General features: G+C 41.0%; 2 protein-coding genes across 6 annotated transcripts in view, besides 7 other annotated features; one reads left to right on the plus strand and one right to left on the minus strand.

Annotated features, from left to right (window-relative positions):
* The window catches only part of ACOT13 (acyl-CoA thioesterase 13), a 37,970-nt gene extending 33,567 nt beyond the window's left edge, over positions 1-4,403 (plus strand). For both annotated transcript variants that reach the window (NM_001160094.2, NM_018473.4), the window contains one exon: positions 816-4,403. In NM_001160094.2, the coding sequence (NP_001153566.1) occupies positions 816-972 (157 nt within the window). In that variant the 3' untranslated portion in view covers positions 973-4,403. The remainder of the gene's footprint in view (positions 1-815) is intronic.
* C6orf62 (chromosome 6 open reading frame 62) lies at positions 4,218-20,193 on the minus strand. Of its 4 annotated transcripts, none has more exons than NM_001410835.1 (5): positions 19,217-20,193; positions 15,505-15,681; positions 13,675-13,797; positions 8,134-8,268; positions 4,218-5,619 (listed from the first exon to the last, which is right to left on the minus strand). In NM_001410835.1, the coding sequence occupies exons 1-5, from the start codon at positions 19,256-19,258 to the stop codon at positions 5,494-5,496; spliced, it is 603 nt and encodes a 200-aa protein (NP_001397764.1). In that variant the 5' UTR covers positions 19,259-20,193; the 3' UTR covers positions 4,218-5,493. The 4 variants fall into 4 exon arrangements, with proteins under 4 accessions (NP_001397764.1, NP_112201.1, XP_047275340.1 ...); NM_030939.5 differs by lacking the exon at positions 19,217-20,193 and adding an exon at positions 17,897-18,511; XM_047419384.1 differs by lacking the exons at positions 4,218-5,619; positions 8,134-8,268 and adding an exon at positions 9,242-9,946.
* Positions 19,192-19,985: an enhancer, noted in NCBI's record as "NANOG-H3K27ac-H3K4me1 hESC enhancer chr6:24720063-24720856 (GRCh37/hg19 assembly coordinates)". NCBI's record gives its function as "activates a minimal SCP1, AML or CMV promoter by ChIP-STARR-seq in primed H9 embryonic stem cells {active_cell/tissue: H9 hESC(primed)}" and the evidence as "EXISTENCE:reporter gene assay evidence [ECO:0000049][PMID:30033119]".
* Positions 19,555-19,724: a silencer, noted in NCBI's record as "silent region_16994". NCBI's record gives its function as "represses an Ori minimal core promoter by ATAC-STARR-seq in GM12878 lymphoblastoid cells {active_cell/tissue: GM12878}" and the evidence as "EXISTENCE:reporter gene assay evidence [ECO:0000049][PMID:35858748]".
* Positions 20,285-21,034: an enhancer, noted in NCBI's record as "active region_24154". NCBI's record gives its function as "activates an Ori minimal core promoter by ATAC-STARR-seq in GM12878 lymphoblastoid cells {active_cell/tissue: GM12878}" and the evidence as "EXISTENCE:reporter gene assay evidence [ECO:0000049][PMID:35858748]".
* Positions 20,285-21,573: a biological region, named in NCBI's record as "NANOG-H3K27ac-H3K4me1 hESC enhancer GRCh37_chr6:24721651-24722444".
* Positions 20,780-21,573: an enhancer, noted in NCBI's record as "NANOG-H3K27ac-H3K4me1 hESC enhancer chr6:24721651-24722444 (GRCh37/hg19 assembly coordinates)". NCBI's record gives its function as "activates a minimal SCP1, AML or CMV promoter by ChIP-STARR-seq in naive H9 embryonic stem cells {active_cell/tissue: H9 hESC(naive)}" and the evidence as "EXISTENCE:reporter gene assay evidence [ECO:0000049][PMID:30033119]".
* Positions 21,165-21,214: an enhancer, noted in NCBI's record as "active region_24155". NCBI's record gives its function as "activates an Ori minimal core promoter by ATAC-STARR-seq in GM12878 lymphoblastoid cells {active_cell/tissue: GM12878}" and the evidence as "EXISTENCE:reporter gene assay evidence [ECO:0000049][PMID:35858748]".
* Positions 21,265-21,354: an enhancer, noted in NCBI's record as "active region_24156". NCBI's record gives its function as "activates an Ori minimal core promoter by ATAC-STARR-seq in GM12878 lymphoblastoid cells {active_cell/tissue: GM12878}" and the evidence as "EXISTENCE:reporter gene assay evidence [ECO:0000049][PMID:35858748]".

The following is a 21,957-nucleotide window of genomic DNA, read 5'->3' on the forward strand; positions in this document are numbered from 1 at the left end:
CGGGCTGGTCTCGAACTCCTGCCCTCAGGTGATCTGCCCACCTCGGCCTCCCAAAGTGCTGGGATTACAGGCTTGAGCCATCGTGCCCGGCCAGATCCACCTTTCTTATACCTCCTAGCCATAAATACTGAAGTCTTATTTTGAATATGGCAAAAATACATATCCTTTTTAAAGGTTTCTTTCTAAAAAGCAGAAACATAAAAATAAACTGTAAGGAAATTATTTCCCTTTAAAACATTAACATTTGTTTTAAACAATCCTCATCTCCCCAATTTTTTTTTTAATTAGCTGGAGCCAGCTGAGTTAAAGACAACTTATGATTACAAGTGACTAGGATGTACATCTCTTAAAAATATAGACAGTCCATCATCAAGATTGTAAGGACATCATATCAATTCCTTATAGTTGTTATATTGTCATTTTAGAGTCAAATAAATTGTAAATATGGATAGGACAATATACAGACACCAAGTGATATTTCATCTAAGAAGTTAAGGAGATTAAATGAAAGCTGGAGGAAATCTTTCACCAGCCCCAAATAAATGTGAAGTGGGAAATGTAAAGGGAAAAAAGGGGAGGCAAGAAAACCTCTTCTCACATATTTGGGAAAAGAAACTTGTGTGGGTAAGGAATGGGTAAAATAGAACCTGGTTAGGACCAGCCATTCACATTTGATAGTACAGAAAGCTTACCAATACTACCGTTAAAACTATTTTTAGGAGTAAAATAAGTTACATAGGAACACTGTTGTGAGATGCACACAACTTTCCCTTTGAAAAATTATCTGCTGTTAACTATATTCATTTTCTTTCAAGGTACATGTCACCTGCAAAATTAGGAGAAGATATAGTGATTACAGCACATGTTCTGAAGCAAGGAAAAACACTTGCATTTACCTCTGTGGATCTGACCAACAAGGCCACAGGAAAATTAATAGCACAAGGAAGACACACAAAACACCTGGGAAACTGAGAGAACAGCAGAATGACCTAAAGAAACCCAACAATGAATATCAAGTATAGATTTGACTCAAACAATTGTAATTTTTGAAATAAACTAGCAAAACCAGAAGCAGCTAGAAATATTCTTGGAGGAAAAGGACCTGGATATCAAGTAGGGTAAAGGTGGGGGTGTCTTTTTTCACTTTAAGCATCTTGTTTTCTAATCATGTGTGATAATTGGGTGAAAAATTCTTAGCTCAAAGTGTTTTAAAAACAGGTAAAGCAAAGAAACTAGCAGGACCACTCTCAGTTAAGATTAAAACTAAAGTCCAGTGTTAAGCTAAAGGAGAAATAGAAATTAATGGTTCTAATTCTGTTTGGGCTGCTAGGAACAACAGAAATTTTTCATGGTTCTAGAAGCTGGAAAGTCCTGGGTCAAGGCCCAGCAGATCCTGTTAGGTGAGGGCCCGCTTCCTGGCTCATAGATGGTGCCTTCTCACTGTGTGGTGGAAGGGGCAAGTGAGCCCTCTGGGTTCTCGTTTTTGAAATGGAGTCTCGCTCTGTTGCCCAGGCTGGAGTACAGCAGCACGATCTCGGCTCACTGCAATCTCTGCCCCCTGGGTTCAAGTGATTCTCCTGCCTCAGCCTCCCAAGTAGCTGGGACTATAGGCATGTGCCATCACACCTAGCTAATTTTTGTAGTTTTTTGTAGAAACAGGGTTCACCATGTTGGCCAGGCTGGTCTCGAACTCGTGACCTCAGGTGATCCGCCTGCCTTGGCCCCCCAAAGTGCTGGGATTACAGGTGTGAGCCAATGTGCCCAGCCTGGGTTCTCTTTTGTAAGGGCACTTACTCCAATCTTGAGGGTTCTGCCCTCGTGATCTAATAACTTCCCAAAGACCCCCACCTGCTAATATCACCTTGGGGGTTGGGATTTTAACATACAAATTTAGGGGAAACACATGGAGACCACAGCAATGGCCAATCCTTAGCGAATCTTAGGTCCTTCCCAGATCTAAAATGCCAAGCTACACTTGCATTTCCTTTTTTTAAGATTATGAAACTTCAAAATATATGAACTACAGCCCATATTGAAAAATAAAATAGATTGAGCCATATGCCTAAAAAAGACCTCAAGAAAAGTTTGAGGCTAAGCATGTTAGTGTTACAGGAAATGGTCCAATAGAGGGGGAAGAAAAAAAGCATGCTACTAGCCCCTTTTCTTGTACCGAGAATAAAACCATGCAGATCTCAAACCTCCAAGTCTATAGTATTGAAAAGACCAAGTTCACTTCTCAGAAGTCTCCAAGTTCAGTTGACTGTGGCACTCTGAGACAGCTTCTGTCACTCAGGCTGGAGTGATACAATCACAGCTTCCCATAGCCTCAAAATCCCAGGCTCAAGACATTCTTCCACCTCAGTCTCCTGAGTAGCTGGAACTACAGGCGTGTGCCACCACGCCTAATTTTATTTTTGTAGAAACAAGGTCTCACTGTTGCCCAGCCTCGTCTCAAACTCCTAGGCTCAAGCAATCCTCCTGCCTTGGCCCCCCAAGTACTGGACTTACAGGTGTGAACCACTGCACCCAGCTGACTCTTACTTGATTTCTGTCAGGGAATCTTAATGAACATTTCATGACTAAAGACTAAAAAGGATGCAGCTTTAAGTAAATTTAAGTCAAGTTAACAGTTAAAGACAAATCCTTTCCCTACATTAGATCGCCTGCTGATCTGTCCACTGTGAAAGGGCAGAAGACTCCACAGTAGCAATAGCAGCAGTGAGCATACAGGAGTCCCAGATGTTTACTTCTAGTATTTCCCACTAAAAGGAAGCTGGGCTCCTTGGAGAAACAGCTGACTCCAGGGCTTGAGGCTGGGACAGAAAGGTTACAGTATCTTATGCATGAAAGGAGATGCTCAAAATAATAAAGGCATGCAAATTATGATTTGGAGGGAAAAAATATGAGGCCATAGTGTTTAGGTAGATAATAAATGGCAGAGATAGAACACTCTCTTACAACAAATGCTGTAAATGGACAAAGCATTAGATTTGGAAAATCACTATTTTGTAACCATCATAGTTAAAGACTGGTTTGGGTTTTAGTCTGGAAAGAATCGCCAAGGGAGCTCCTGATAAAGGAACAGGGTATTTGCACATTGCTTCCCAGAGATTGCTAGTAGTAAGTACCACACATAGGGCAAAACCAGGACACCTTGACCAGGCGCTCAAAAGTAACATCAATGAAGAGCAGATGGAGAGTATACTTGAGAAGGGCGTTAAGCATGAATAAACAATTCAAATGCAAAATGAGTAACAATTTACAAGAAAAATTGCCCTGTACTCCAAAAAACATAGAGGTCATGGAACACATAAAGGCTAAGGAACTGTTCCACATTAAAGACAACTGAGAACAACTAAATTCAATGATCCTGTACTCTAGAGGGGGGGATCTAAAACAAGCTACCAAGGATACTGGGACAACAAAACGAATATGGATGATAAAGAGTATCAACATTCCCTGAGTTTGGTAATTTTACTCTAGTTATATGAAATATTCTTGTACTTGGAACATATGCCGAAGTACTAAGGAAGGGGTAAGGAAGCACAAAGTGTGCAACAAACTCAAATAGCTCACAGGTATAAGTGTACAGAGAAAATGAAAAAAATGTGGCAAAATAATAAAAATGAGGGTAAAGATTACACAACAGCTTTCATATTACTCTGGTAACTTTTCTAAATTATTCCAAAATAAAAACGTAAACAATGGCTGCCAAAATGCCTAACTTGGTGAACATAAGTGTAATTCAATATGGTAAATTAATTCAACATGGTAAATTAAGAGCATAGGCCTTAAGAGCCAGCCAGCCTGGTTTTAAATCCTCCACTACTTATGATCTGAGCTTGAGCAAGTTACTTAACCTCTGCATCTATTTCCACCAAAGGTTGAGAGGTTAAGACAAGAGCTTAGAAGAGTACCTGGTTATAATAAACATTCAAAATGTTATTTCAAATAGATTCTAATTTTTAAATAAGAGGACACATGAAAGCATTTTGAAATTTAAGAATGGCCCTTTCCCATGAAGCAAGGCATAAGGCCAGGTTGCTAACTGTTGAAAGCTGACAGTATGTTCTTGATTCCTGTTCTTGTTGAAGTTACACACTCAATTGCCAGGTATTTTTCTTCTGAATTTACTATTTAGCCACAGACTATGAAATAATTCTCTAAGGTGACCAGTAACATCAGTGAAATGGAAAGAAAAAGTTAACACTTCAAACTTTGTGTATTCACCTGAATAGTCAGGGAACTTTCACCTATTTTATTTAGGTTTTCTTTTTCTTTTTTTCTTTTTTTTTCAAATTCCAACCAGAAGCTAAATACAATTGGAAACTGGTAAGCACTAGTTTTACTCCAAAGGAGTAGGATCATTCAGATTTACTCCAATAAAAGTATGCAACCCTTAAGCAAAGCTTTTCTTCATTTAAAAGGAGAAAAAAAAAAAAACCTATACAGTAGTCTTTCCTTATGTTCATTGCACAAAATGAGTTCTGCTTTTAGAACTTTGACACTCAATGGTTAATTTTACAATTTAAGATTCCAACTTTATAACCTTTTTTCTACTCCAAAACACCCTTGTAAAGTTTTTCTTTAGGATGGTGTAAAAACCAGCATTTCTGCACAATTCACTGGAATTTTTTTCTTTGTAATAAAAATCTCTTCTCTGTAAAACCAAAAACAAAACAAAACAAAACAAAACAAAACCAAAAGAAAAGTCCTCTACCTATCATGGTTTCTGCAGCTATGCATGTATTTCTGTTTTATAGCTGCTTTATAGCTACTTCAGACTCCAGATCTGCTTTAATGTGTATAACTGCATCCACACGCAGCAGAATACTCTTACAATAGCAACTTGGGGAAAGAGATCTGGAAAAAAAAAATACATGAGTACCAGGAAACAAACATGGCCCAGTAAAATATGAGGCAAAAATGCCTACAATGAGATGCGTTTTTCATTTAAGATTTCTTTCCCATGGTTGTATTTTCTTTTTTTAAACCAGTTCTGGTCATTAGAATGTATCTGACAGTGCTCTGGAACAACTGTGATTATAGCAAAGTTATTGTTTTTAAAAATGTTATTTATACCTGTTACATTCACTTCTCACCCTCTAAATACTGATGACAGATGTCAAAGAGGCAAAAACCAGCACAAATGGGAAGACCATAAAAATGAGTATCACCTTGTGCTTTCAGATACATTTAAGCATTTCAGTGTACAATAGTCCTTTCATTTCACATTTTTAGTAAGATACTGATGCAGTGCAGCAAATATGCAAAGCATCTTCTTTCACACAGTCCGTGCACGACATCTAATTTTTGTTTAAGTTCTGAGATAAAAATGATTTAAAAAAATCCAGGATGAACAAGTTTCAAAATGCATAGTGTTCTGTGCATGAGTCCATTTTCTTTAAACTCTGAAAGAATAAAGTGGTAAGAAAACAAGAAAAAAAACTGCTGCTGCATTCTCTGATCTTCTCCATTTTGCTGGTCAGTACTCTACTCTGGCATATAAGGACGGAGGTGATCCTCTATGGTGCCAACTGCCCAGTGGGTGAGCTGTTCCTGTGGCAGGTAGAGGCAGATGCTGCATAACTTGAAGATTGTAGCTTTGTTTTTTGGAGTCTGGAAGGGGAAAACATTTTAATATTTTTTAAAAATAAGACTTTAGCGTAACTGTCACATGAAGTCCATTTCCCACAATTTATTAAACATCTTAACATACAGAGTAAGGGACAAATTGTAGTCCCTATCCATATTCTAGACAGACAAAATCTTGCCATATAAGATAAAGGAAAAATTTATGCAGAATTAGAAGATAAAAAGTTAGGGAAGTAAACCAGAGACTACTTGCTAGAAGAAATTAAAGCTAAAGGCATTTCATGGGGACAGATTTTGAGAAGTTTGAAGTCATTTTTATATAGAGGAAGATAAAGCAGATGTGGTAAGAATAGAAGCTAGTGAGAGGATGAAGGAATAGGTAAAAATTTAAGGCTGGGTGTGGTGGCTCAGACCTGTAATCCCAGCACTTTGGGAGGCTGAGTCAGGAGGATTGCTTGAGCCCAAGAGTTCAAGACCATTCTGGGCAACATGACGAAAACCCATCTCTACAAAAAATATAAAAATTAGCTGGATGTGGTGGCACACGCCTGTAGTCCAGCCACTCGGGAAGCTGAGGTGGATAACCTGCGCCCAGGAGGTCAAGGCTGCGGTGAGCCATGATCCATATGCCAGTGTACTCCAGCGTGGTGACAGAGTTGAGACCTTGTCTCAAAAAATAAATAAAAGATTTAAGCATATCCTGGGGTAAGGGACTAGAAAAAAGCCAAAGTATTACCAGTTAAATCAAAACCCTTATTTTTAAAAAGTAGTTACCATTTGAACATCCAACTTAATTACAAAGTTCATCTTTTCTTCACTATCTAGCACCTCTAAAAGGCAAAATAAGGACTCTGACTTTGAAGATGTCTGAAGTAGCCTACAAATGTAAATAAACCTATACATATGTAATATACTTTACTTGTATTAGTTAATTTTAAATGTAACAACCTTACGTTAAATTTAACAACCTTAGGATTATCATTTGTTCAATTTCACAGAAGCAACATGCTCACAGCAGTTACCTGTCCAAGATCATACAGCCAGCAAGTGGCTGCATCTAAAAACTAAATTGCAATACTTGGATTGCTGCTTAACTGGGAAGTGGTTATTTGTTGTTGGCGGTGTTTTTTTTTTTTTTGAGATGGGGTCTCGCTGCATTACTCAGGCAGGAGTGTGTTGGTGCCATGGCTCACTGCAACTCTAAACTCCTGGGCTCAAGTGATTCTCCCCTGCCTCAGCCTCCAGAGTAGCTAGGACCACAGGAACACGCCACAATGTCCGGCTAATTTCTTTGATTTTTTGTAGAGATGTCGTCTCACTCTGTTGCCCAGGCTGGTCTTGGACTCAAGCAATCCTCCCCCATCGGCTTCCCAAAATGCTAGGATTACAAGTGTGAGACACTGTGCCCAAATGGAAGTGCTTATTTGAAATAAATGTGGATCTTTTAAATATATGTCCCTCATCCTTTTAGATTTAAAAAGTCAGCCGGTTGCGGTGGCTCACGCCTGTAATCCCAGCACTTTGGTAGGCCAAGGCAGGCAGATCATGAGGTCAGGAGATTGAGACCATCCTGGCTAACATGGTGAAACCCTGTCTCTACTAAAATACAAAAAAAAAAAAAAATTAGCTGGGCGTGGTGGCGGGCACCTGTAGTCCCAGCTACTCGGGAGGCTGAGGCAGGAGAATGGCGTGAACCCGGAAGGTGGAGCTTGCAGCGAACTGAGATTGCGCCACGGCACTCCAGCCTGGGCGACAGAGACTCCCTCTCAAGAAAAAAAAAAACGTCCAGGTCAGTGCTTCTGGAAACAAAGTGTGTTTCAAATCACCTGAGGGTTCTGTTTAAAGTGCAGACTCTGATTAGTAGAGCCTGAGAGTCTATATTTTTAACAAGTTCTCAAGTGATGTTCATCCATTGCCCACACATCTGGTAGACACGCTTTAGGGCAATAGTTCTCACTACTGTTCACTAGAATCATGACTTTTAAAAGCTTCGAAGGAGGTGGGTTTTTTCCCGTTTAAAAAAAAAAAAAAGGCTTGCCAGGTTGCTGTAACATGCAGCAAAATTTGGGAACCATTGTTCTACAGTGAGGCCTGGGAAATACTTTTTTAAAAATTCATTTTATTTTTTGAGACAGGGTCTCGTTCTGTCATTCAAGCTGGAGTGCAGTGACAAGATCTCACTGTAGCCTCCTAAGCTCAAGCAATCCTCCCCCTTCAGCCTCCCCAGTAGCTGGGACTACAGGCACACGCCACCATGCCTGGCTAGTTTTTATATTTTCTGTAGAGATGGGGTTTCGTCATGTTGCCCAGGCTGGTCTGGAATTCCTGAGCTCAAGCAATATGCCCGCCTCGGCTTTCCAAAGTGCTGGGATTACAGGCATGAGCCACCATGCCCAGCCTATTTTTTGCTTTTTAAATAACTTCAAAAATAATGCAGTGTTTGGGGGACACAACAATTAAGTAACTTGTATATAAAACGTTTACTAACCAATAAGTTTTTGAATGAGCCTGTAAGTGGTTTTCAAAAAAGCTGCTTACCTGCAAGTGCTGTCTGTCAATGAAGAGAAACACTGACTGGTTAGGATTGTTGACAACGATTCCAGTCTTGTCCTTGCGGCTCAGTACATGCAGAAACTGTTTTTCATAGTCACCATGATGAAACTCAAATTTGGCCTAATTACAAAATACAACATTTATATTAAACTACAAACAAGTTATACTACCTATCTGCATCTATATGCTAGCTGTGCTGTCCAATAAAGCAGCCAACAGTCCGTTATCTTTTCCTCTTTAAAAAAACAAATTTTGGCAAACCCACAGCCAATAATATCACAGGCAAAATTTAGATTAAAAGCAATTTACAATTCCATTCTTCAGTAGCACTAGCCACATTTCAAATGCTCAACGGTCACATGACTACTGGCCACCATTAAGAACAATCTCTTGAGATACAGAACATTTCCTTAATTGTAGAGAATTCTATTGGACAGTACACTCCACAACAGCAGTTGATCAGGAAATGCTCTGCATCAAAATGACTAAATCCTAGTACTCCACGATCATAAAATTGTATTTTCAAACCTACTCAGTCCAAGACTCCCACCATAGTACTTTAAGCCCCAAGGACATCTCTTTTCTTTTGATTAGGAGTCACATTGTTAATTGCTGTTTCTAAGAAAAAAAAAAAATAAATCTGTTTATTCTAACCCTAGCTGCACAACTCACTAGTTACGTGACCGTATGCAAATCCCTTAAACTTCAGCTTCCTCATCTATAAAATAAGGCTGTAACCCATTTCACAGGACAGTTAAGAGGGTTAAATGAAATGTAAAGCCCACAACTGAAATATAGTTTTGCTCCTCATAGATAGGCTATGTTTTTATGTGAATTTTTCCCACAGTTAGCCTTGGGTCATTCTCAAAAATTTGTGAAGTTATGAAAGACTGTTATCAATTAAGTCAGAACACTCCCTTCAATCTTTTAACATGAGGAAGATCAACTCCATCCTCCCACAAAATATCTGTTGGGCATGGTGAGACACCAAATGCTACATGACATGACCAGGCTTGATGGAGAATTCAAGAAACCTAGATTTAACAATATGATATTTAGACAATACTGAGTTGTACAAATAATTGTTAGTCCATTTTGGTTCAAACAAATTTTATTGCCGTTACGTCAAAAACAGTAGGAAATAATAACATTGAAAAACCAAGTTCCTGCTATGTAGCATTTTATACCTAGGAGCTTTTCTTATAAACCGTAACATAAAATATGATACAGCATCACAATATACCATATGTAAAATGATACTGAATTGTACTTCCATACAATTCAAATATTAAATTATTAGTATGATCATAAGCATATCAAAAGCATGCTATTAGCTACTAAACAATAGGAATAAGGTTACTTCAGCCTTAAGGGGCTTATTATACTGCTGAAGAGGACAAGTACAGCCAAATATAAAACCCAACTTGCTTCAAATCCTTTCCCAGAATAAGATGTGGTTATCTGTAAAACTCCAATTTTTTTTTTTTTTTTGAGACGGAATTTCGCTCTTGTTGCCCAGGCTGGAGTGCAATGGCGCGATCTCGGCTCACTGCAACCTCCGCCTCCTGGGTTCAAGCGATTCTTCTGCCTCAGCCTCCCAAGTAGCTGGAATACAGGCATGCACCACCACGCCCAGCTAATTTTGTGTTTTTAGTAGAGATAGGACTTCTTTATGTTGGTCAGGATGGTCTCAAACTCCCGACCTCAGGTGATCCATCTGGCTTAGCCTCCCAAAGTGTTGGGATTACAGGCGTGAGCAACCGCGCCCGGCCCAAATTGGGTTCTTATCATCAAACCACTATAGGAGAAAAAAAAAAAAGTAACAGTAAGTAACACGGGAACATTATGATTTTGGATTGCGCCTTTAAAGATTAAGAGGATTTCCCCAGGACAAAGTAGTAATGGTAAGTAATCTGATAAACGCTGACTGGGCATGGTGGCTCAGACCTATAATCCCAGCACTTTGGGAGTCCAAAGCGGGAGGATCACTAGAGGCCAGGAGTTTGAGACCAGCCCGGGCAACACAGTGAGATCCTATCTCTACAAAAATAATTAGTTGGGCATGGGGTGCACACCTGTGGTCCCAGCTACTCATGAGGTTGAGGTGGGAGGATCACTTGGGCCTGGGAGTTCAAGGCTGCAGTGAGCCATGACTATGCCACTGCACTCCAGCCTGGATGACAGAGTAATACCCCATCTCACCATCTCAAAACAAAACAAAAAAAACAGCCATACTAGGAAACAGAACCAACACAAAAACAAATGTGTTAAAAACTGAAATACTATTCAAGTAACAAAGCTGCAATATGGTAAGCAACCAGGGTGGGTGCAAGAACCGGTAACCACACTGAAAAAAGGTTTGAGTGAGACTGAAAAAGGCCTTCCTTATAGTTCTTTAGCATTTCAATTCTATCATATTGAATATCCACTTATCTGAAAAGAAATGGTACACACACACACACACAAACACACACACACAACTTCTCATAAGCAGCATGAAAGAAGTAATTCCCACAGAAGTAACGAAATATTCTAACAGTCAGGGGAGGAGCTAACCTTGGCAGTAGCATTAATAATGAAGAGAAAAGAAGAGATACATTTTAGTAGTACCTCCCAGCACTTCACAGTACACTGAAGAACTCAGTATTTAAAAACAATCCTTATTCTGGTTCCGATTATATCCTCACTACCCATATATTCAGGTTTTACAGTGCTTCAAAAGGCCAGGCACGGTGACTCACACCTGTAATCTCAGCACTTTGGGAGGCTGAGGCAAGAGGATCACTTGAACCTAGGAGTTCAAGACCAGCCTGGGCAACAAAGTGAGACCCCATCTCTACAAAAAATTAATTAAATTTTAAAAATAAGTAAAGTGCTTTAAGAGTCAAAAAACAAAAAACAAAAAAAAGAGGCCTGCAAGTTAACATTTACCATTCCTTTTCTCATTTTCTTTGAGAAAGAACTGAGTGAGTTATATTTAAGGCCCCTCATATAGGATATTCACACATTTTAAATTACTTCAGAAAAGCAAATTAGTTCTTACAATATTAACCTACTTACTGCAGTTGAATTCTAAAGTCATTACCTACATCATACTGCTTACACTCAGTCCAGAATTTTAAGATTCTATAATTAATATAGGTAAATTTTCACAGTACAGGGTAGTGAGTTAAAAGCACAGTCAGTCCAGGCTTTTATCCTATTTAACTGCCTTGGGCCTTATTTACCTAATTTCTGTCTCAGTTTCTTCCTATCTACCCAGTTATTTTAAGGACTGAGATTAAATATATATAAAGTAAGAGAAAGTCTAAGGCCAAGTGTGGTGGCTCATACCCGTAATCCCACCACTTTGGGAGGCCAAGCCAGGCAGATCACTTGAGGTCAAGGACACCACCCTGGCCAACATAGCAAAACTCCGTCTCTACAAAAAAAATACAAAAATTAGCTGGGTGTCATAGCATGCGCCTATAATCCCAGCTACTCAAGAGGCTGAGGCACAAGAACGGCTCAAACCTGGGAGGCAGAGGTTGCAGTGAGCCAAGATCACGCCACCACACTCCAGCTTGGGCGACAGAGCAAGACCCTGTCTCAAAAAAAGGACGGGCATGGTGGCTCATACCTGTAATCCCAGCACTTTGGGAGGCCGAGGCGGGTGAATCACGAGGTCAAGAGATCGAGACCATCCCGGCCAACATGGTGAAAACCCGTCTCTACTAAAAATACAAAAATTAGCTGGGCGTGGTGGCATGTCCCTGTAGACCCAGCTACTCGGGAGGCTAAGGCAGGAGAATCATTTGAACCAGGGAGGCGGAGGCAGAGGTTGCAAGGAGGAGGAGGTTGCAGTGAGCCAAGATCACACTACTGCACTCCAATCTGGCAACAGAGTGAGACTCTGTCTCAAAAAAAAAAAAAAAAAAAAGCTGAAACTAGTACAGTCAACTCTCAATAAACATCAGCCATGACTTCAAAGAGTACTATTTGACACAAGACTAAAGTTAACTCAACTATTTCAAATAAGGTCCCAGTGGGAAAGGCAGGGTATTAGAAATTTGAAAACATACTGTAATAAGCAGACCTACATTTTTCCAGTGGGAAATCCTTAACTAAAAAACAACAAAATCCTAACACCACCTCCAGAGAGCAGCTAGAGTTATCAGCCCTGCGCTGAGAACTTTAAACATGCCTTTTCTATTCCTGTTTTCATGCCTTTTATATTCATTTTCTCCCTTCAGTCAGATATCATCCATTAAATGACCGAAATACAGATGCTCCACGACTTGTGATGTTACATCCTGATAAACCCAGTGTAAGTTACACGTATTTTAAATCAAAAAGTGACTTTTGAACTTACAACAATTCCAATTTACAATGACTTCACCTGGATGTAGTCCCATCATAAATCGAGGAGCACAATGAATTCATATGGCTTTCACATCATGGTAAAGTTGAAAAAATCTTAAGTCGAACCATTATAAGTCAGGGGAATCTGTATACAGTACTTTCTTATGTATGTAACCAATGGATTATTTTTAAAACTTAGTTGAATTAATCTTAAAACATTAAAAATGATAATTATTAGAGCTTATGTGTAGCAACATTACCATGGGGCGGGAGAGTATATCAATTTATACAGTCTGTGAAAAACATAAGCACCACAAAGATACTTCAGGGTAATAAGTAGAAGCAAAAGTTTTAAATGACAAATAATCCTCACAATTAGCTTAAAATAAAGAAGCCTTCTAATATTTGATTTAGTGTACTTAAAATGAGTCCTTAATATCATTTTTCTGATTATAAAAGTATACTTAAGAAAATCGTGGCAATCTATGCCATAAATTATAAAGGAAACACAAATGTAAATATATATATTAAAAAAGGAAAGTTAGCTATACCTGACCTACAACTAAGCATAATTAACACTTTGGTGGACCTCCATCTTCTATGCATACAAATATACTGTAAATAAAACTAGGTTCAACATGAGTAAATGCCCTTAACACTAGAGGGGGGATTCACTTGAGCAATGTCTAGTATACCATGACAAACAGTCAAAAGTCAGCAAGATTTTAAGGTTAAGAATGACTACTAAATTTACTTCTTTCTTCTATAATTTTATATACAGATCAACTTCTACAAAATGATTTCTTCACCCATTTCAGATCACATTCCTTTGGGAAGCAGCAGTTAAATATACGGTTTTAGAAGGATGTGTGGTGAAGGCTTCAAGAGTTACAGATCTCAGAAGCTCATCTGTGGGCCCCTCTATAAATCAGTAAATGTCCACTTTAAAAGATTTTCTCTAGTCATAATTTCAAAGCCACACTGGGCAGGTGGAACCACCACACTGTCAAGAGATTCTATAATCCAAACGCTTTCTTCTCTTGCATCACAATATTCTAAATAGGGGAGACTCGTGAAATAAAACTATCAGAAACCATTTTCCCAAAGAATTTCTCAAGTTAGACCCTATTATATTCTAGTAGTTTTCACATATTGAAATACTCATCACACTTTAGACCAAAATACCTGAACAGGCCTAAAAGGCTCATCAGATTCTTTCCACCTAGAAAACAGGAGACAGACGATTTTTTCAATATCATTCCGAGGCCAAAGAATGAAATCCATCTCCTGAGTACAGCCAATTACATCCTATAAAATGATTAAAAAAAAAAAAGTTTACTTTTAAAGAAACAGCTACATCAAGCCATGTCACAAATTATAGGGTTCCCCTATAAAAACATTTTATAAGTACAAAAGATCTACCATATATCATTTTATATCTTAGGAAGTAAACATAATAGTTTATAATCTGAATAGCTCATGATGTAATTTTTTATTTTTGGAGACAGAGTCCCTCTCTGTGGCCCACACTGGAGTGCAATGGTGCAATCTCCGCTTACTGCAAATTCCGCCTACCAGGTTCAAGCGATTCTCGTGACTTAGCCTCCCGAATGGCTGGGATTACAAGTGTGTGCCACCATGCCCCGCTAATATTTTTTGTATTTTTAATAGAGACGGGGTTTCACCACGTCAGCCAGGCTGGTCTCGAACTCCTGACCTCAGGTGATCCACCCACCTCAGCCTCCCGAAGTGCTGGGATTACAGGCTAAGTCACTGTGCCTGGCTCTAATTTTAATTTTTATCTTACAGAGAGTCACATACACTCAGTCCAATGCTCCTAACACCAAGACCTAGACTTATCAGTGCATGGTGAAAACTCCAACAAAATCTCTGATATCTGTTGTATTGTCAGACCCTGAACCTTTATTTCCACCTTTAAAAATCAATCTATTTAAAAAGATGTCTTAGAACTCCTAATATGAATCACTATCCTATTATAGCTGAAATGCTATTTTTATTTTGATAGAAAACTACTTTTCTCCATTCCTGACTTCTGCTTCATTATTGTAGCCAGCATATTAATTTTTGAAGGTCCATAATTTCTTCCAGACCAGTATCTGGTTATCTCCAGCATTCTCCCCAAGTAACTGTGGGGATCTCTTGGTTCAGGTATGCCCAGATTAACTTTTAACATGTTGCAGAAGTTTACAAAGCTGGAAGCACTTCCTTATATTCATATTCCCCCCAAAAAAGGAAATACAATAAACGGAGACATAAGACATTTATCCACAATAATAATACACAATATTATGAGCCTAATACAACAAAGTTGTCCATGTTTTACTCAAGGTCAAGTTTTCAAAAACAAACCTACTTCAAAAATTTTTAAACTTTCTGCATAACACTTAAATTATTAAAAACAGTTGGCTACTGGCAGGGTGCAGTGGCTCACACCTGTAATCTCAGCACTTTGGGAGGCCAAGGCAGGAGGATCACTTGAGGTCAGGAGTTCCAGACCAGCCTAGCCAACATGGCAAAACCCCATCTCTACTAAAAACACAAAAAATTAGCCAGGCATGGTGGCGCACAACTGTAGTCCCAGCTACTCGGGAGGCTAAGGCAGGAGAATCATTTGAATGCGCGAGGGCAGAGGTTGCAGTGAGCCAAGATCATGCCACTGCACTCTAGCCTCAGCGAAAGAGCAAGACTTTGTCTCAAAAAAAAAAAAAAAAAAAAAAGTCCGAGATCATCAACACCTAACACAGATTAAAGAAATCCCTTTATATACTTCATCCACATAAGAATGGTCTGGCGTAAAAAAACGTGTTTTTCTAATCCTATAAACACAATGCTTTAAAGTCATGATCCCAGTTATCAACATGGCACAAAGACAAATTTACCTGAAGAGACTGGTCACTATCATAACTATCCACTTTAAGGGGGGTTCGGGGGGCGGGGAAATGCAAGGTTAATCCACAGAAACTTTATCAAGTCAAGACTTAAGGCAGAACTTACCCTTCTCATAGACTGATATCGAGGAGCATGGAGCTGTACCACATCCTTCTGTAAAAGCTCTAGGGAACTTTCCAAGGAATAGCTGGAATCTCGCACACCTTTCAGGATATTTTCTTCATAATTATTTGTCATGACTGGTATAACCTCAGACACTTCAAAAAGTGCTGACTTTTTCTTCTAGAAGAAAAGAAAATGGTGTATTAACCCACAGGGAGCACAGCCTTTTAACACTCAGTTCATATTACAATGTCATGTAACATTAACTCCACAAAATTCTTAACTGTCTGCAGTAACTTATACACTGAAAACACATTTTCAGATAGGTAATTCCTTCTGTTCTTCCCCTACCTCCCCCTCCAACCATACATGTACAAACTGTCATTAGAATGTTTAATGCTTGAGTTTTATAGCATAATGGTATCCATAGCACTATTTTGGACAATACTTCTTAAAATTAAAAATCTCACCAGTTTTAAAACAACGCTATTCAGACAAATGAATAGTTTTATTCCTTATATGGGCCAATTTCCATTACTTTCTCAATATTACATTATCAAAACCATCAATATTTCTGGTTTTTCTTTTTTTTTTTTGAGATGGAGTCTCACTGTGTTGCCCAGGCTAGAGGGCAGTGGCACCATCTTGGCTCACTTGCAACCTCTGCCTCCTGGGTTCGAGGGGATCTCCTGCCTCAGCCTCTCGAGTAGCTGGGATTACAGGCCTGCGCCACCACACCTGGCTAATTTTTGTATTTTCAGTAGAGACAGGGTTTCACCATTTGGCCAGGCTGGCCTTGAACTCCTGACCTCAAGTGATCCGCCTGCCTCAGCCTCCCAAAGTGCTGGGATTACAGCCGTGAGCCACTGCACCCAGCCAAAACCATCAATATTTGAAAGACTAAAAAGAAGCACACCAAGTTCTCTTTTAATACTACTCAAGACCAAGTACGCATCACTAAACTACTTTTTAAAATTCTGTACTATTAAGTATATATCATGAATTATTCAGGGCAACTGCATGGACACTGTCCATTCACAGAATAAAACCAGATTATCGTTGGTGTTAAAGAATTAAGATGGTGCAATTTGGGGCAATATATAGATTAAATACAAAGATATGGTCTCACTACTTATTATCTTGGATTTATTTAAAGAGCATACACTGTATCATCTTCAACTAAAATCCAATCTCATCAATTTTGAGTCAGCTTGTCAACAAAACAAAAGTGGAGATGTAAGTCCTTGATACCACCCAATCTTGGGACAGTCACTTCAAAAATTACTTAAAAATCACTTCACAATGCTATACTTCAGCAGCTAAGAATGTTCTTAAATACAAATAACCTTTTAGGAGTTAAGAGTTGGGGCTGTGCGTGGCAGCTCCTGCCTGTAATCCCAGCACTTTAAAATGCCATGACAGGAGGATCACTTTAGCCCAGGAGTTCAAGACTAGCCTGGGCAATACAGTGAGGCCTGTCTCAGCAACAAAAATAATAAGAGTTAAACAGTAGGGGGAAACCTGGAAAACTTCCAGATACTTAATAGATACCACACTAAGATTGTATTTCTGATCTGAAATTAGCTAACAATTTAAGCACCAAAATCCAAGTAGCACTTCCTTACATTCATAACCTCATCTTTGGTCAAATAAGCCTTGCTGATAATTTAAGAAAATGTTCATTTTAAGTTGCAAAAAATACTGCTCTTATCATCCCATCCTTGACTACTCACAACTTACTGTTTGCTATTTAACTGCGGAACTAATTCTGATTAAGACCTCCACCGCCCCTAAAAATGAAACTTCCTCTAGGTCATTTTGAGTTTTTAAAAACTGTACTTCTATACAAGGCAAAATGAACTCTAAGTAAAAAAGAAAATCACACTTCTAAACACAAATTAACCATTTCAGTATTTAATTGCTCCTAAAAGGTGTATTCTACTTCATTAAATGTAAGAGAAAAGGTTACCTACATTACGCAGTTTAAGAAACAGGATAAACTTTAGCATATAAACAGTCTGATTACAATTTCACACTTTCAACCATCTTATTTATACTCTACATTAGATAATCTTTAAATTCCATCATAAGGTTTCCCATGTTAACTCCATATAAAATTTTGTAATCTTGCCCACCCCATGTCAACTCAGTGTATACTACTACTAAGCTTCAGACTCAAATTTATTTCCAAACCAAAGAACGCTCAAGGGTCTTTTCGCATGCTGCAACTGCTCAATTCACAGAATCACCCCTAAGGGTGAAAAAACAGAGCATACAAAGCAGACTTTTTTTCAACCACTCTTTAACCTAATATTCATAATAATTTAAGAGTAACAAATAATATACACTTACAAAAATTACTTGTGCTAATTCACCATTAAGAACTTTAAATTACCTTCTCCTTGAATACAAAGGCAATATACATCTTGAAGTCAAACTGGTCAGCTAGAGATTCTTTTTTCTTTCTAAGCTGAGCACGTAGTCTGTTCAGAGCTTGTTTCTTCCGGGAGTTTGGGTCCCCCATTTTGAAATACAGGTGGTACTAAAGCCTTTGGAAATTGTCACTAAACTATGGGCACTTTTTCTTAAGACTCAAGTACAACAGAAACAAGTCATTTTTTTTCCTGCTAATATGATTGATTAGCGAAAATCACGACTATAACCCAAAAACTGCACCTTCTGTCAATATTAGCAGACTGTCATATTACAGGGTCAAGAAACAAAAGCTGCTGTCCAGTCATGTTTGGACAATAACGTTTGGGGTCAGACGGGAAAAAGGGAGGAAAGAAAGGAAAGAAAGAGGAGAAAATAACTAACTTTCTGGAAAACACATTTGGCTTAACTGCCAAAATAAAGGCTTTGCGGAGAAATGAAAAGCCTATAATCAGGATTTAGGTGTGCAATAAAACACAGCTGACACCAGACCAATCCCTAAAATCCATCCGGATTTTCCCCCCTTTTTAGAAAAGGGATTAAGGAACAGGGAGGGGGAAGTGTGATCCTTGCTTTCCAAAAAAAAAAAAAAAAAAAACTCACCAAAACCAAAACCAAAACCAAACACCAAAACAGGGTAGGTGAATGAAACTGAAATATCCAATTAGATTTTACCCAGCCAGCTCCATGGCTGTAGTACCTAATTCTTAGTTATTTCAGATTTCACTATTGCTATGTATTGTCAGTGCTTGTTATTGATTACACTTGGTGGTGAGCATAGAGAAAAGTGCAAAATCGGTAGAGAAGGAAAGGGAGAGGTACAGGGTTTCCCTGCAATCAACTACAGTGTATACCGGGGGCGGGCAGCTGTGGCCCAAAGGAGCCATGAGAAAAAACAGCGGAGTCATTACCAACTTCCCCATCACCCACATTTTCACCCTCAGGCGGCTGCTAACGCTGCTGCCAAGGAGAATCATGACGGCAGAAGGAAAAGGGGTATATAATACGGTATTAATTATTCCGGCTCTGTGGTTAGACCTGATTAATGCCCGGGTTCCCAACACCCCCAGCCTGCAACTAGTCCTACATTCCCCAAGGGAGACTTCCCTGTGGATCTGCCCCCGTTCAAAATGGTGGGGAGTGCGATTTATCTTCTTGTGAGCATTGCCGAGGCAAAGGTGGCGGGTTCTTCTCCCAAATCCCAGGCGGTGCCCGGAGACCACCTGCCTTCCACCCCCGCAGGTCCCACCCCCACCCCTTGCCTTCAGCGGCAGCGACTCACTCGCACCACGGGAGACACAGGATCACTCAGGTTTTCACTCATTTCATCGTGGAAACAATTCCCGCCCGGGTGGAGTGGGCGGGAGAGGGTAAATGGGAAGGTTCAGTGGGGGAAAAAAAGAAAATAATTGTGTTAATATTACTTCTAAAGTAAGCCCACCCACCCTCCCCCCAAAAAATTAAGTTCCCGGATTAGCTCTCTCTCACGTTGAACAGACCATGTTTCCAGAGTTTGGATTGTTTAGGGTGGGGTCGTTAGTTGTTTCCCGAGGGGCAGGGGGTGGAATTGAGGCAGCTAGGGCGGGGTGGGTGACGGGGAAATCCCCTCCCTGTCCCCGCGGAGCCCGGGACTCACGGACCGACTCTAGGGCGGGGTTTGGGCCCTCTAGCCGCAGCCTGCGGGCGGAGCGGTGGCGGCGGCGGAAGAGGCGGCGGCGGCGGGGGCGCTGCTGGTAGCACGGGCAGGAGCCATGTCAAGAGAAAACCACCAGCCAACTGAGCCCCTCCATCCCCGCTGCAGTGCGCACCGTGACTGGACCGCCCGCGCTGCTGCCGCCGCTCAGCCCCCACCTGGGACCCATAGTCTGGCTCGGCGCCCTGGGCGGCAACGGAGGGGAAGGACGCGGAGACAGCGGCAACAGGGAGAGAAAAAGAAAAAGAGGAAAAACAAAGAGAAAGATGGGGAGTTGGATTGGTACTGGCGGCGGAGGGGGAAGGGAAAGGAAGCCCTGCGCTAAGGGTCAGCAAAGTAACCCCCCAAAATAAAGTTATTTCAGTTCAAGCATCTGCTCTTGAGTCTTTCTTCCCCCTACAGTCGGATTCCGGCTCTCAGGAAAGGTCGAGGAGACCCGGAGGGGGGAAAAGCCGAAGCGGTTGGTGAGCGTCCGCGGCAGTACTGCCTCGTTCCCCCCCCCGCCGGTGGCTGCAGAAGCGGCGAAGGCCTCGGGCGCCTCGCGGGTCCGGGGCAGAGTCGCGTTTGAGAAAAGAAGCGAGAACAAACAACTTAAAATGGCAGCGACGGCCGCTGCGTCACCCGCCTCTCACCGGCACCGCCCCGGTGTGACTGCGACTGCGCGCCCTGCGGGACCCCACCATTTGCGCAGAATCAAAGGGGGAGAAAGGATTGGAGGTGGGAAAGTTTTCAAGGTTACCGAAAAAGAGGAAAACAGATCAAGAGTACGGAATAGGGACAGGTCTTTTAAAAGTGGAGCCTTTGAATTTAACCTCTCCATTTCAGTAATCGCCCCTCAAAAGGGGAGTTTGAGAGTTGAGACTCCTCTCTCCTCCAGTATGGAGTATCCAAGGGGCGTGGAAAGGGGGGGGCTCCCCGCCACTCCTTCCGCCCCCCTTCTTCAGGAAGTCCCAGTCTCCTGAGTTGGCTCTTCGCCCCGCCCCGATGTCGTCATAAAAGCACGCCCTCAACCATCCTCAACAAAACACCCGGATGGAGTCGCACTTCCCGAGTCTCGTCAGCCTCTCAGAGTCAGGCTGGGCGCGTGACAGAGCCGAACTAGCGACCTGGGCGGGCCAAAACTGCGGAAGTCGGCGGAGAGTGGGCGAGGGTAGGGGCGGAGCAAAGAAGGAAAAGGAAAGTGTGTGTTGGAGATTGGAAGATTCTTATTTCGATTCTTATAATTAGTTAGTCCTGGGGGTCGGCCCCGCGGTATCCTGCGGCAACAAACCTAGAACTCAATTCGACACCTGGAATTTAAACGGCGTGCGGGAGCAGATGTCTCATGTTAGTGCTACTTGCCTCTGTCCCCACCCCGCCACGTGCGCAGGCAGGGAGGGCGGTCCTCAAGCTTCGAACAAGGTCAAAGACGTTGTTCAGACGTTGCTGCTGTGGCTTAGGAGAGGAGCAGCCCAGTCTGACTCGTGGATTTTTACCCACTGCTGTCAGAACACACTTTCTGTTAGAATCCCCCAAGACCTCAGACCTACAGCCTGCCCCTTAGGTGGTTCACTGTCTTCATCGAAACGTTTGCCGCCGAGTCGCACGTCCTTGGCACCAAAAAGCGTTGAGTCCATTTTTCAAAGCTCTAATGTGCTCTTTAAAACACAGTTATGTAAGTACTTAGCAAAGGTCAATACTCCACATAAGCAATGCTTATATACTCATTGGCTACTCTGAGATTTTAGAAGTCCATTGGGACCCCAATTACTACTTTTCACTTCGTGAAGTCAAAACAGATCAGCTGTAATAACATTATTTCAGCCATGAGCCAAAAGAATAACTGGTACCCACCCTTCAATATAAATTGTCCAGAACCAAAGGATGAGTCCTGAGATTTCCAAATAACTTCTAATCTCGGAAGATACAGCTTGCATTTTGCTAGTGCTTTGCTGATTTGTTTTCAAAATCATGTAACTATGGAAAGCTCACAGAGATAAAACAGAAAATGTCACGTAGTTTAGAGCATTGGTTTAAAAAAGAAAGATTTTTAAAAGTAAGCCGAGCATGGTGGCTCACGCCTGTAATGCCAGCACTTTGGGAGACCGAGGCAGGCGGATCACCTAAGGTCAGGAGTTCGAGACCAGCCTGGCCAACATGGTGAAACCTCGTCTCTACTGAAAATACTAAAATCAGCCTGGCTTGGTGGCAGGCGCCTGCAGTCCCAGCTACTCGAGAGGCTGAGGCAGGAGAATCGCTTGAACCCGGGAGGCGGAGATTGCAGTGAGCCGAGATCGCACCATTGCACTCCAGCCTGGGCAACAGAGTGAGACTCCGTCGGAAAAAAAAAA

Source organism: Homo sapiens, chromosome 6, assembly GCF_000001405.40.
Source record: "Homo sapiens chromosome 6, GRCh38.p14 Primary Assembly".
In the NCBI taxonomy this organism is placed as follows: domain Eukaryota; kingdom Metazoa; phylum Chordata; class Mammalia; order Primates; family Hominidae; genus Homo; species Homo sapiens.